The following is a 15925-nucleotide window of genomic DNA, read 5'->3' as shown; positions in this document are numbered from 1 at the left end:
AGCCACTGTGCCCAGCCAACTCAATAACATTTTTAAAATTCAACCTGTTTCTTTTCCTCTCCCCTCCTAAATCAAGCAGGTACTCAATCATGCATTTCTTGCCTCTTGCCTCTTGCTTCTGAGTAGTAACCATAAGGGAAAAAAAAGCAGCACTAAGTTTCCTGGGCTTGGGAATCCTGAATACACCAGTTCCAGAGAAGGAAGATAATGTGGTGTCAACAAAATACTTGTAAGAAACAAGGAGACAACTAAAAGCCCCACCACAAGGATTCTCCAAACCTGCAGGAAATGAGAAGGTGAGTAGCTGCTGTGTGCTTTCTGTGCAGTGCAAACAAGGAAGTGGCAAGATCCCGGGAGGAGAAGTGGCTCTGTGTGCAGCTCAGAAATTGAGACCACGCCATGGCGTCACAAAGCCACCGGAGCTCCAGGGCTGTGCTAAAATACAGAATGAGTGTCTTACTGCTAACCTGTGTGGGTAAGTGACTCAATCACCAGATGCCATGTCCTGAATTTTTAGCACTGGGCAAATTTTTTATGTCATAGTCATGACATAAATTCCAGGGAGATAGCAGAGCTCTTTTAAGGACAGTTTCCTCCCTTTCTGAAGGCACAGGGGCTCAAAGTCCTCCCTTTTTGAAGGCACAGGGGTTCAAAGTAAGGCAGGATGATTTACAGAAACATAAAGAGAGGAGGTTCTTTCTCCCCACCTGTAGTGTTCCCATTGGCCAGGGAAGACCGGGATTCATGTTTTCATTTTAATCGGCACACGAAAGGGTACACCATAGTTCCTGAGTTTTTAAGAACCACTTTTCTCCCCATCTGCAAACTCATTCCAGCAGCTGTTTCTTCCCACCTCAGCAAAGAATGGAGGAAATTCTTTATTTCTTAGCTATTTGATCAGTAAGGTTTTTGTTTTGTTTTTGTTTTTGTTTCGAGACAGAGTCTCGCTCTGTCACCCAGGCTGGAGTACAGTGGCGCAATCTTGGCTCACTGCAACCTTTGTCTCCCTGGTTCAAGCAATTCCCCTGCCTCAGCCTCCTGAGTAGCTGAGATTATAGGCGCACGCCACTACGCCTAATTTTTTGTATTTTTAGTAGAGACGGGGTTTCACCACGTTGGTCAGACTGGTCTCAAACTCCTAACATCAGGCAATCTGCTTGCCTTAGTCTCTCAAAATGCTGGGATTATAGGCATGAACCACTGCGCCTGGCCGATCAATAAGATTTAATAGCTAACGGCACCTATTGTAATTGGGATTTGCAAACACTTAACCTGTTTTAATGTGACCTTTTGGATCCCAGTTCTCTTCTCGGCTGCAGGATCTTGATTCTCTTAGGTTGCAGTTCCTGCTAAACACACAGCAAACTTCCTTATATTCTTCTCTAATTTATACTCTTCACACTCCTACACCACTCACAAATCACAAAGAGAACTACCTCTGCAACCTTGAATGGGTGAGGAAAAATATCTTCCACAGGAGCTTCTTTGTAGACATTTTTGTGCAGCAATCAGATATTAAATCTTGTTTGTGACTCAGCCACCTGAGTGATTGGCTACTCCACAAAGCAAATTCATCTCAGTCTTTTTCCACTGTTTGAGAGCAATGATGGGTCAATACCTACTGCATAGTTTCACAGTATGGATTCGATCGATGTCTCTGTTTTTTCCCTCTCTCTCTTACAAAGGGACCTGAATCTTCCCTTTATCAATATTGAGCAAATGCCGATGGCAAGGAATTTTATTTCAAACAACTGAAAATCCATTTTAGTTTTTTCCCCACTTGCAGATTCAGATCATTGTCTTTTGCATGTGCTGTCCCCTTTGTGATGGCATTTTCTAAACAGAAAGTAATCTACTTGCCTGACACATGGTATGTGTTCAATAAATTTTAATTAATAATAATAGCCCTTGTTGTTGCTATAGTAATAAAAAGTAAAAGTGAGCATAGAGGGGTTGATCCCAGGGCTGGGTCAGGAATGCAGTGCCACCATGTGACCAGAGGACAGGACAAGGGGGTGTCGATGTTGTAGAAGGAAATGATAGGCTGGGCGCGGTGACTCACACCTGTAACCCTAGCACTTTTGGAGGTGAAGGCAGGAGGGTCACTTGAGTCCAGGAGTTGGAGACAAGCCTGGGCAACATAGTGAGACCTTGTCTCAATAAATAAACAAATAAGTAAACAAATAAATAAATAAATAAACAAACAAAATTAGCCAGCTGTGGTGGAGCACATCTGTAGTCCCAGCTGCTCAGGAGCTAGACGTAGAAGGATTGCTTGAGCCTGGATGGTTGAGGCTGCAGCGAGCCATGATCATGCCAATGCTCTCCAACCTGGGCAACAGAGTGAGCCCCAGAAAAAGCAGAAAAAAAGAAAGAAAAAGAAGGAAAAGAGAGAGAGAGAAAGAAGAAAGGAAGGAAAGAAGGAAGGAAGGAAGGAAGGAAGGAAGGAAGGAAGGAAGGAAGGAAGGAAGGGAGAAATTAGTTAGAAAAAAAATCTTGTTCCCAACTGGTTCAGAAATTTAAAAAAAAGGAAATGGTAAAGTAAGAAAAGGGAAAGCAGGAAAAAGAAAAGGTGGAAAATCAGAAGGTGAAGAAAAAAGAGCCAGGTATGTAAGAAGAGTGGCACCAATGAAGAGAACTTGAGGGGAGTAAAAATACCCTGTGTACAGAGAAATAAATAAGAAGAGAGAAATCCAAAGAGAAGAAGAGGGAAGGATGAAAGGAAATAAGAAACAGAGGAGAGAAGGGGCCTCAGGAAGCTTGGAATGGCTTTAGTTGGCTTGTGAATTTCAGAGGAAACTACTATTATTTTTCCCCTTTGAAATTCTAATCTGATAATTAACCATTATTAATAATTTTTATTTGTGTAGTCCTAAATGAGTTCACACTGAAGGGGGTAATAATAGCTCCCCATTGACAGAAAGTGGAAGAGAAATAATTATTTCCTGGCTTTCAGACATGGCCAGAGCAATACTATCTCAAAGGCCAGATATTACAGCTAAAAACTGCATCTGATAGCCAAACATCCTCACCCTCTGTGTTAATCTTTTGAACATGTATGTTCAACTCAAAGACTCTAGGAGTGTTAAAAAGAGTAATGACCTTAATAAGTGTAAAGTTCTTTGAGGGTTAAAAAGCACAAATACTATGTTTTTAAAAGTCAACATTTAATTTGTTAACTAAAATAAATTGTAAGGTTTTATTTAGGCAAGTCTTTGAGAAAGAAAGAAACATGCATTAAGTACATTGATTTATGTTTCTGTGCTTCTCCTGATTGGGAAAGTGAACTCTTAACATGACCTTAAAAAGACACAAGATGCCAAGTAGGAGATGGAGAGGAGACAGAGTAAAGTAAGGAAAGGAAGTGATCTATTTTGAAATCGCAGCTAACACAGGAGCACAGCCAAGGACTATGAGACTGAGAAATTGACAGTTTGCCTTCACCTTCATCTCTTTATCTCCTTATCCTGTCCCCTGGCTGTATGGAAGCATTCCATTCCCTGCACCCCAAACCCCAGATCAACCACCTGGAACTGCACCAGGTCCAACTTCTTAGCACTTTCTTAGCAACACCTTTCCTCCTATTTCTCTCATCCCCTTTCTGCTGCCATATCTGTTCTTCCACCATGGAGATACCTGTTTTTCCTGTATCAGCACATCCTGCTGTCAATTCCTTCCCTCCTGCCTGGTTAGTGGGTGACTTCACTCACATCATCAGCTCCCTCACCCTCTTCTCCTCTCTCTGCCTCAATCCTGGCCTGGGTGGATGCCATCAGTCACTTCTTAGCTTGTGCCCATACAATGATCAGCTATGCCTCAACCAATTACGTCAAATAAAATAAAATAAAATAGGATAACATTTAAATAGAATAGAAATGATAAAGGAGAGTAAAATAAAACAACAGTTTTTACTGGCTTCAGCTACAAAATGATGGCTTCAACTAGACCTTGTGTTCAGTTGGACTCAGTACTGACTCCATTCAGCTCACATTTGTATTCTTGGGTGGAGTAGTTCCAACACTTTACCCCTCTCAAATACTCTACTCCACTCCCATCTTTAATTTCCCACCAATGATCTTGCCCCATACTTCATACAGAAAAGGCAGACCATCAGAGGAACCTTCTCCAACTTCGTTTTCCTTCTCCTTTAGAGCCGATGTATCCAGATACATTATTATAGTCTAACCTTTTCTCTTAAAAATGAAGTGGCCCCATACTTCCTAGACTAACTATCTAAGTGACTTGATTATGTTTACATTTCTAACTTCTTTACTACACCATGAGCTCTTTTTTGGGTGGCACCAACCCTTCTCTTTCTTGAAGAAAAAATGGCATAGGAGCACCCCTGAATTATATCACCAAAAAGGGAAAACACTTCACGAAGCTTTTTAAAAATGCAGCACCTTCTATACTCTAATAATAACAGTTAACATTTATTGAGCAGTTACTCTGTCCCAGGCACTCTAGTAAGTGCTTTATATTTGTTACCTTATTTGACCCCCACATTAACTCTTTCAGAAAAATTCTATTAGTACTATTACTAACGATGAAATAGTGACAAACAATCACAACAACCCCTGGGGAAAAGTGCTATACAGTGCTGATGGCAGGTTGATAGCATTATACGAAATATACAAAATCATTATTAATATTTTTATTTGGTCATTGGCTAAATCTCAAGACCCCAAAGAAAACTTTAGAACATTTAAAATATTTATTTTCATTATTTTGAAGACATTAAATATATTACTTATTCTAAATATTATGTGCTCAGATCTATAACATTACACAAGAAAATACTTAGAGACTTTAAGAAGTTTTTTGAAAGCAATGTGGTAAGTCCTAGGAGTTTGCAGTAGAGAAGCTTCCTATCTTCTTATCTTACCGTGGGGCATGTCTTGTCTCTTAATGGTGTCTTTTTGGTACATAGCCTGAAAGCCTAAAGGTTATCCAAAATGCCTTTCTTATTTACTTGAAGTGTTCTATTTTGGCATAGAATGAGGACGTTGGAAGATTTCTGTGTTTCTACCATTCTAATAAGACTGAAAAATTCTAAAAATAGTCAATTTATATTTGGGTGTTGCGATGGATTGAATTATGCCTCGTTTCCCAAAAATTCATGTGTTGAAATCCTAACTCCCAAGTATCTCAGAATGTGACCTTAATTGCAAACAGGATCATTGCAGATGTAACAAGTTAAAATGAGATTATACAGGAGTAGGGTGGGCCTCAAATCCAACAGGACTGGTATCTTCATAAAAAAAAGAAATTTTGACACACTCAGGGAGAATACCTTGGGAAGATGAAGGCAGGCATCAGGATGATACCATAGAAGCCAAGGAACACCAAAGATTTCTAGCAAACTACCAGAAGTTAGGGCACAGACATGAAACAGATTCTCCCTCACAGCTCTCAAAGGAACCAACTCTGCAAACCCTTTGAGCTGGGACTTCTGGCACCCCAATCTGTGGTGCTTTATTACGGAATCCTGGCAAACTAATACAGGTGTCTTCAAAGGGACAACGGTATCTGTTAACCCATAGGACTTAGAAATCTGGGGGTGGATGAGGGAAATTTCTGAAGAATGAAGCATAACCACATAAACATTTTTTTCCTAATGTTCCTTTTCCTATTATTTTGTTTGTTTTTCAACATACTTATAGCCGCTTTCAGATTGCTTTATTGTCTGCAGTCTTCAGAAGGCTTTTTTAAGAGAAAATGTTGTGTTTTCTGATTCTTCATGATGCTCTTTTCCCTGTCTGGTTTATAATGTTTTATTATGAGTTCATTTTCAGTGGATTTCCATTGTTCTTCAGGAATGCAGTTTGTCCTGAGATGTGGAAGTTTTCTGACAAAACGTCTCTCCCAGAGCCCATCCTGATTTGAGCTCTTTCTTTGGCATCCAAAGATTTCTCTTCTTTTCATCAAGTTTCTCTATAGTCATTTTTAGTGTCATGGTTTACTATTTTGTTTAGCATTTCCAACTGTTTTCAGCAGGTAGGGGACCCTTCTGCATTAGCTGAGGCAGCCAAATTGCCCAGTCTCCATTTCATGGGCTTTCAAGAACATTTCTATGCAAATAATAATAAGACAGAATGATCACTTACCTGTCATGATATAGTATCGGAAATATTTCTCTTCCCTTCTCTCACTTACCAAAACTAAAGTGATAAGAGCCTGTTGGCTTTTCAACTGAACCAAGCCTTTAGTATTTTGATACAAAAACTCCCCCAATAAAATTGTAAGCCAGTTTCTGGAAATGATTCTAGTAAAATTTATACCTCTTTAAATTTACTAAAATGTAACGTGTACAAAACCAATAAAGAGGACTAGGGTAATGCTACATGCTTTGAAACACTTGTCATACAATTTTAATTCAAAACTTAGAAAAATTATATCTACCTTTTTTTGGTCCTACCAAGTAACAGAAATATAATAAGCATTACCTCAACTTGATCTTCGCAAACTGCGTTTACATGTTTATGCTCCTCGACATAGGAGAAATAGAAGTCTCAGAGAGGTTAATTAAGGTCTCTGAGCTACTTGTTAGAGCATCTGGATTTATGGCAGACTCCAGTCTTTCTGGGTGCCTGGGTTTTTTGTTTGCAATGGTATCAGGCTATTTTTCATCAAATATTTTAGGCTTTCAGTTGCAAATACATAATTATGATGAGGGGATTTAAACCATCTATTTCTGACTAAAAAGTGCTTCTTTTTCTCTCGGAAACAGTTTTAGGTAAGAGGATTTATTCTTGTTTTATCATAAAAGAAAACCAATGTATTTTTATTCTATCACTACAAAGTTACTTCAAGTATCACAAAACATTTTAATTTTATGTAATTGGTGTAGATTTTCACCATGGCAAAATGTTAGCTTTTATCCTAATCAGTATATTGGACTCTTTCAAAATGAAGCACAACTAATAACAGCAATGTATCTTAATACAGATCCTGCAGATTTTAGCGGCAATAGATACACTTGTAGCATACTATTATGATGAGTTTCACAAGAATCTAGTTAAGAAGATTAAGAATTACTATACCGACAAATGTTTATGCTACAGAATCTCCAGTGTCAAAGTGGGCAATATTATCTGCTAGTGATACAGGATACTGTTGGCCTTCAGGCTTGTCTTTGGTTACATTTAACAAACTGGAGAGACAGCAGTTTAAAACAAGAAAATTCGCATAAGCAGATTTGCATAAGGACTTTGCTTTTGGATAGAAGAGGATGCAGGTACTTAAAAAGGACCTGAAATGCAGGAAGTGGAAACAGAGAAGATGCTATTGGGGTCATGTGGAAGGACTATATGAGACTCTGGATAGAAGCCTTGCTAGGTTCTTAAGTGATAAAATATGAAATCCACAAGAGAAGATGAAACAAGTGTCTTATGGCCACCTTGAAAGCTGCTGGTTTGGGGAGCATCAGGTAATAATATCTGTAGCTTTGATATTGTCATTCTAAGGTGAGTAGAGAATGCAGCAGCAATAATGAGGCATCATGAGGTTTCATAGAAAGACCATCAACAAGAAGGATGCAGCTGGGTGCAGTGACTCATGCATGTAATCTCAACACTTTGGGAGGCTGAGGCTGGAGGCTCACTTGAGGCCAGGAGTCTGAGACCAGCCTGGCCAACATGGCAAAACCCCATCTCTACTAAAAATACAAGTATTACCCGGGTGCAGTGGGAAGCACCTGTAATCCCAGCTACTCAGGGGGCTGAGGCAGGAGAATCGCTTGAACCCAGGAGGTGGAGGTTGCAGTGAGCCAAGATCACGCCACTGCATTCCAGCCTGGGTGACAGAACGAGACTCTGTCTCAAAAAAAGAAGGATGGGAGCAAAAGACTGTGACAAACAGCTAGCTGATGGTGACTGTGGCTGGCAGATCAGCTTTTGAGCACTGTGTACAGATTCACCCAAGGACAAGGTTGGGGGACTCTCTACACGTTGTACTCAAACTATTATATTCCCTTCTTTCAGCTGAGGCCTTGCTCTTAGGCAGAGTACATGCCTTCAGCTTCCTTTAGGATCAACCCGTTCCTAGGAGACTTCTCATTCTTTCATGAGGACAGTGGCTCACCTCTTGCAGGTATGTCTGTATCCTGGTACAAGCACAACTTCAGCCCAAGCTGACACCACACAATGTACATCTAATCTATTTTTCCCTATAGTTAATGTTTCATATTTTATTAGACTCTTTCTGTCACCAAGGTCAGACTCAGGCACTCTCGGAATTGGGGACCAAAGAATTCAGCAATTCTATTCTAGGTCCTGTTAAGAGGTTGATGGCTCCAACCATCGCATTTATGGCCCAGCAGGAGGTAGGAAGCTCATAGAATTCCCACGTCTTTTCCTAGAGAGGAAAGTTTTTTTTTTTTTGAGATGGAGTTTCGCTCTGTCACCCAACCTGGAGTTTAGTGGTGTGATCTCAGCTCACTGCAACCTCCGCCTCCTGGGTTCAAGCGATTCTCCTGCCTCAGCCTCCTGAGTAGCTGGGATTATAGGCGCCTGCCACCACGCCCAGCTAGTTTTTGTTTGTTTGTTTGTTTGTTTGTTTTGTATTTTTAGTACAGACACGGTTTTGCCATGTCTCGAACTCCTGACCTCAGGTGATCCGCCCACCTAGGCCTCCCAAAGTACTGGGATTACAGGTGTGAGCCACCATGCCCGGACAGAGGCAAGATTTTTCTGAACTTGTTGAAGTCTTCCTTGGTTGGCTGCTTCCACTTTGCTATCACACAAGACATTCCTCCTTGTTTCCCATTAACCATTTCCAGAAAAACTTTTCCTTAAGTCTCCCAGATCAATCACTGTACACGCTTAGCCCCCAACCTTGACCTTGTACCTAAAAGTCTGATGGAACAAGAAACTCAGTCCGCATGGTCTGAGTTAGCTTTGCCTACTTCTGTTGGGCAAGAGGTGTAGGAAAGTCTGGGGAAGTATCTGATTAATTCCAACCTTTCCTTAGCTCCCACTCCCTGAGTGAGTCTGTGCATAATAAAAAAGCAGAGGGCCCCGGACTCAAATGCTTGTGTCACTTATACAAGATGTGGAGAGATAAAATAAGCACAGTAAGGTGAGTTGTCTCGAGGTTGTCACCCACCATACAGTGCCCAACATCTCCTTGCCTCTAACTGCTCACCTGACAGCCTTTCCTGCTGCTGCAGGTTTAACACAGGGTACTGGCATTGCGGCCCCTCCCTTGGTGGTTTTATGTTGACCATCTGAAAGCATCCTTCCTGAAAATGAGAGCTAGGTTTCTTCTTTGTTTTCTTTGTTACTAATAAGAGCTTGATGTATGATTAAAACTTCTAAAAAACTGGAAGGGCTGTGCTTTCATAGTCAATGGCTTCAAGAAAATACCAAGAAAATTCTTTCTTTCTTAATGGGGTGATTTTCACCCAGTGAAGAGCATGCTCTATGAAGTTGTCTCGGGAATATGCATGATCAGTAGCTGGAACTGGGCCATATTTCAGCAACCTGGTGAAAGAAATGAAAAGTGTTTGCCTCCTATTGCTGCTGTAAGTCTTGATTTGTTAGTTTTGAAAGTACGGTATTGTAAAATAAACCCACAAAAAGCCTCATGACTTTAAACCAAGATGGTTGTGTAATTTAAACATCACACCCTTAACCCTTATCCAATTAAATAAGCTTAAAGAAATATCCACCAACTGGAATACAGAAAAATATTCTTCATAGAGAGAGTTTTGAATTTTAGGTAAAGAAAATGTAAAGAACAAATCATACATATAAAAATCTGCATGACTATGATATGACTCATTTTTATATTGATAAAAATAACTATGTTTAATACATTGGAGTTGTAGTAAAGTATTAATGATTTCTATTTTAGTATTCAGATTAAATATCATACAGAAATGGAGCAAAGCAACTATACCTCATGGGTCAGAAAATGATTTTCATGAGTTAATAAAAAATTGTATCTTCTAAAATTTTTCAAATAACACAAAACTAGACTTTCTTGCTTAGGGTAAAAGGATGGATTCTGATAAGAACCATCTTTTTGTTTCCTAATATTTAAACATCCTCTTTTGTCCCTCATGGAAATTAACAAAGAATTCTTGAGTCTGTCTGGTAGATAAAAACGTCAACAGTGAAAACACAGTTTCAAGAAAAGTATTTCTTTCTTGATGGGGTGACTTTCACCCCATGAAGAGCATGCTCTATGAAGTTGTCTATTTCACAAATATGATAATTTTATATTAAAGATAATTTTAAATATAAAATATATTTTAAAATATTTAAATATGAAATGCTCTTAGCATATTACTCTACATAATAAAGATTCAAAACATATTCTTTCCAACATTTATATTTTTCTTTCTCAGATGTTTCTGGTACTCAGAAAAATCAGGAACATCATTTTCAATCTGAAGAATTAAATAAGAAATTCAATAAAGCAGGATAAGAAAATGGCTGGCATGTTTTCCCATTACCTAGAATAGCTCTGTGGAGACCAACCATTCCATGAAAACAACTGCAAAACAGGATAATCCAGTAAAAACATCTGCTGAAAGGCATCAGAAAACTAGCAAGGCAGCAAGACTGAGAAGCCAAGATAGCAGAAAGAAGGGTGTGCAGAGAGGTCAGCTCAGTATTCGGTGCCACTTTTCCTTGAGGCATTTGTCAACTCCTAAACAGCAGCCTAAAGATGAAGGAGCTGAGCAGATATTCTAAGAGTTTCACGGGGATAAGGAATAACATGGAAGCTTAAGACCCAATAAGAAGCAGACAAAATATCCCAGCATTTCAGTTGGAACCCTGGATGGGATTCATTTCAGGAGTAATAGGGAACCAGAAACAAAGGACGGTCATGAAGATTCAAGCCCACTGAGATTAGACTAGCTGATCTGCCTCTACCCTAACTTTCAACCAGAAAGAAAATAAACCCGCTAGCAGTAACACCATCTAGAGTCTGGAATTATCTCTGAAAATTTTCACATACCATATCCTGATTTCAATAAAAAATTATCAGTCATATTAAGAAGCAAAATAAATGATCAAAAGCCAAGAGGAAAAAAATCAAGTAAAAGAAACGAGCCAACAGGAGACAGGACACGGTGGCTCACGCCTGTAATCCCAGCACCACAAGGTGGGTGGATCACTTGAGGTCAAGAGTTTGAGATCTGCCCGGCCAAAATGGTGAAACCCCATCTCTACTAAAAATACAAAAATTAGCCGGGCATAGTGGTGGGTGCCTGTAATCCCAGCTACTTGGGAAGTTGAGGCATGAGAATTGCTTCAACCCGGGAGGCGGAGGTTCCAGTGAGCTGAGGTTGTGCCTCTGCACTCCAGCTTGGCTGACAGAGCAAGACTCTGTCAAAAAAAGAAAAAGAAAAAAGAAAAGAAAGAAGCCAACAGGAGATCCAGATGTTGAAAGTTTTCGATATGGATTTTTAAATTACTACAGTTAATATGGTCAAGAAATTTGCTGGTAGTATGAATAATTTCAAAAAAGGACTGGAAATTTCAGAACAGAATCAAGTGGAAATTCTAGAACTGAAAATTAGAAAAACTGCAATCAGACATCAAAAGATAGGACTAAGGCCATTTATGGAATATGGTCTGAAAGGTCTAAAATATATGTAACTGGAGTTCCAGAGAAGAGGTAACAAGAGACTAGAACAGAGGTAATATCTGAAGAAGAAGTAGCTGAAGAATTTCCAAGTGATAAAAGTCACAGTTCACAAAATACTACTGTGCCCAACTGGGAAAAATTCAAAACAACCGCCTAACCACATAAAAAGAAAGCTATCTAAAAAGACAAAGAGGAAAATCTTTGCAGATAGAAAAAAAAACACACATAATACTTTTAAAAGGAATAATCATCAGTCTGACAGTTAATTTCACAATTGAAATATTGGAAGCCAGATGACAACAAGCATCTTCAAAACATTAAAAGAAAATAACTGCAGCCTAGAATTTTGTATCTAACAAAAATATTCCCCCAAATAAATGTTAAATAAAAACATTTTTATACAAGCACAAAACGAAAAGAAAATGTTACCAGTAGGGCTGCAGCAAAACAAATTCTAAAGGGAGCCCTTGAAGTCAAAAAAAATAATTTCAAGTGAAAGCACAGAAAGAACAAAGAATAAATAAATACATAAATAGCAATGAAAAAAACTAAATGAATATTAAACATGTAAAATAACAATCATATATTGAGGAGTTTATAGAATAATATACAAATAGCACTAAAATAAATGACAATAGAAGAAAATGGGAGAAGTAGAAAAGTAAAGTGAAATCATTTTAAAACCTTAGATTGTCCAAAAAGTGGAAAAATTACTAATTTTTATTAGAATTAAATAAGCCAGGAATTCATGTATAATCTCTAGAGTAACACCTAAAAAAATTAGCAGTAAAAGAATGGTGAAGAAGAAAAAAAGAAAAATTAATTTTTAAGAAAGAAGAGGAAAATAACAGGTAAGAACAAAGAAAAAAACACACATTGACAAATTTTGAAGGATTGAACTTATACAGCGTGTGGTCACTGGAAATGAGTTAGAAATCAATAATAGAATGTAAACAAAAAACTATCAAATATTGAAAAATTAAGCAATACTCTCCTAAAAAGTCCCATAGCTAAAGGGCGAAATCCCAATGAAGTTAGAATACACACTGAGCTGGATGATAATAAAATATTACATATCAAAACTTATAAAATGCAGCTATGGATGTGCTTTAAGAAAAAATGATCATCTTCAATACATCTATTCTAGAAAACAGAAGGGCTAAAAATCAGTGATTGAAGTATTCACCTAAAGAAGATAGAAAAATAATAGTAGATTAGACCCCAATAAGTTAGAAAGAAAGAGTAACAAAGATTCAAACAGAAATTGAGTCAGGACAAAAAATGCAATGAAGGTAAGTAAAATCCAAAGTTGTTCCTTGAAAAGGCAAATAAATGTATAACCTTTGTAAAAACTAATAAAGAATAAAAACAGTGAAGTTACTGATTACCAACAGAAAGACTAAAAAGGAATGTCACCATAAAGTCAACATTTATTAGACAGATTAAGAGAATTTTAAGAACAATTTTGTGCTAACAAATTTGAAAACTTACATTAAAACACATTTTATCAAAATTGATACAGTAGAAAATAATTGGAATAATTCTATACTAACAATAATTTTGAATCTGAAATTAAAACCTTGCCACAAAGAAAATTCAGACCCATATGTATTTATTAATGAATTTCTCTAAACATTTAAGAAATAAATAACACCACTTACACAATCTATTGTGTAGAATAGAAGAGAGAACACTTTTCATCTCATGTTGTGAATCCAAGACACCCTGATGAGTATATTATAAAAAAGGAAACTTCTAACTCAAACATTCTGAAGCAATATCAGCAACCTAATCTGGTGATTTCTAAAAAGAATAACATATCACAACTAAGTAGGTTTTATTTAGGAACAGACCCTTGAATTTCAATCATGATAACTCAGTACAATAATAAAGGAGAAATTATCCTGTCACTATCTCAATAGATGCAGCAACAAACAGATGTTGAATTTTTTGATAAAATCCAATGCCCATTTATGATAAAAACTTCCTAACTAGCAATAGAAAGAAATTTCTTTAATATGATAGAGTATTTACAAGATAATCTTGAGAAAGTTTTCAGAATTAACATCAAGAGAAGGAAAACTACAGCCAAATTGTAAAAAAAAAATTCTCAGATGAAATTATGAAGTTTATAAGGCCCAGTTTTCAAAGCCTTCATTTTCACAGGCCCCTATAAGTGTTAGGAATTGCTGGGGATTGTAGAGAATTCTGGAGAGAGAGCAAAGTGGGTTGCAACCAAGAAACATTTATATGTTAACATGTCTGGAAAATTGTGTAAAGTTGCCTCAGAAGAAATGAAAAATCTCTAAGTTTCCAATAATTTGTGGTACATATTTCTTAATCTAAATAAATATTCATTTTCATACTGTATATTACTGCATTCTCACACTACTATAAAGAACTATCTTAGAAGGGGTAATATATGAAGAAAGGAGGCTTAATTGGCTCACAGTTCTGCAGGCTTAACAGGAAGCATGGGTGGGAAGCCTCAGGAAACTTACAATCATGGCAGAAGGCAAAGGGAAAGTAAGCATGTCTTGTCATGGCAGACCAGTAGTGAGAGAGAAGGGGGAAGGGCCACACTCTTTTAAGCCATCAGATCTTGTGAGAACTCACTCACTATCATGAGAACAGCAAGGAGGAAATCCACCCCCATGCTCCAATCATCTCCCATCAGGCCCCTTCTCCTGTTTGACATGAGATTTGGGTAAGGACACAAATCCAAATGATATCACATACCTTTAAAAAGCATTTTCAAAAACCTATGATAAATATCATATTTAATGGAGAAATATTGAAAACTTTTTATCTGACATTGCAAAGGAGACAGGTTCCCCTTATTAACAACAGTTTTATTTAACATTGGTAGGAAAAAGATCCTAGCATGTATAATAATGCAAGAAAAATAATACATATAAAGATTAGAAAGAAAAACTGTCATTACTTATAGATTGTATTATATCCAAGCTGCAAGATAATCCATAGGAAAATTATTGTGATTAAATGAATTTAGAAAAATCACAGAGTTCAAGGTCAATATGAAAAATCTCTGTTTATATACCAATAAGTGATTAAAAATGATATTTTAAAAATTATATCATTAACAATTATATCAAAAGACCAAATATCTAGAAATAAATTAACAAATGTGCAAAACTCTACACAAAAAATATGAAACATTATTTAAAAAAATTTCAAAAGACCTAAATAAAAGGAAGACATTCAATACCATAAACATGTATATTATTTTTAAATTATTCTATAAAGAGTATCTCCAATACTGAAGGAAATAATGTATACAATGGCCCATGGTCCATTTCCAAGACGAAGTGCCTTAAATAGACTTACGTTAGCAAACTACAGAAGAAACAGAACATACTAGGCCCCTGCTTGGATAGCCCATGCCTGCTTGTTGGCCTCCCCCTCCCCCACTCCGCCTCCACAACCCTGTTTCCTTGCCTTCACCAGAACCAAAGAAGTTTAGTCTAAGATAAAAGTTTACTAGCCTGCAAAATAGTTCGTTTTGTCTGTTTTTATTAGCCTGCCCAGCTACTTAGCTCATAAGTAAATACTTGAAGAGCCCCTGAGCTAACTAGGATTGCAATGCATTGTGGGCTGCAACAAAATGCCGCAAAACAACCCTAAAAACAAACAAAACACCTAAAGCCCCTGCCCAACAATCAATAGGTGACGTCCAGGAAGATTGTGACCCCCTAGTATTCAGCCTATGAAAAACCGGGAGAGGGACCTGCACACTAGGAGTTAAATTGCTTGTTAAAACTGTGCTGTGTGTGCCTGCACATCAGACACCCAATTCTTGCAAGAGCATCATTAAAAGTTTCACTTTCGCTGTTCTCCAGGTCTCTGAGTCCATTCTTTGGGTTTGGACAGGTAGGTTTGTTTCTCACAATACCAGGTATAATACCAGTAGAATGTTTCATATAATTTAACAAGTTCATTATAAAATGTACTTGAAATTGCAAAGAGCCACAAAAAAAACCCAGACAATATTGATGAAGAAAAGACGAAGTCAGAGGACCTATACTACAAGATATCAATATAAATTATAAAGGTACCATAATTAAAACTGTGGAACTGGAGTAAACATGGACAAGTAGACCAATGTAGTTAAAAACAATTCTGAAAAAGACCCACACATATATAGATGCTTGATTTATTACCATGTTGCTACTGTAAACAAGGGAAAACTGTTTTTTAAAATAAATTATGCTGAGTCAGGCCAGGCACAGTGGCTCGCGCCTGCAATCCCAGCACTTTGGGAGGCCAAGGTTGGCTGATCACTTGAGGCCAGGAGTTCAAGACC

At 37.7% G+C, this 15925-nt stretch overlaps 1 long non-coding RNA gene across 1 annotated transcript; it reads left to right on the top strand.

Annotated features, from left to right (window-relative positions):
* The first annotated feature begins 453 nt into the window (after nucleotides 1-453).
* Nucleotides 454-12008, top strand: LOC105377458 (uncharacterized). Its single transcript, NR_134680.1, has 2 exons — nucleotides 454-475; nucleotides 10352-12008. It is a non-coding gene; the product is annotated as an uncharacterized LOC105377458 (long non-coding RNA).
* Nucleotides 12009-15925: the final 3917 nt, after the last annotated feature.

This window comes from Homo sapiens, chromosome 4, assembly GCF_000001405.40.
Source record: "Homo sapiens chromosome 4, GRCh38.p14 Primary Assembly".
NCBI classification, from domain to species: Eukaryota; Metazoa; Chordata; class Mammalia; order Primates; family Hominidae; genus Homo; species Homo sapiens.
Note: the sequence above shows the minus strand (reverse complement) of the source record. Positions and strands in the feature narration are given on the sequence as shown.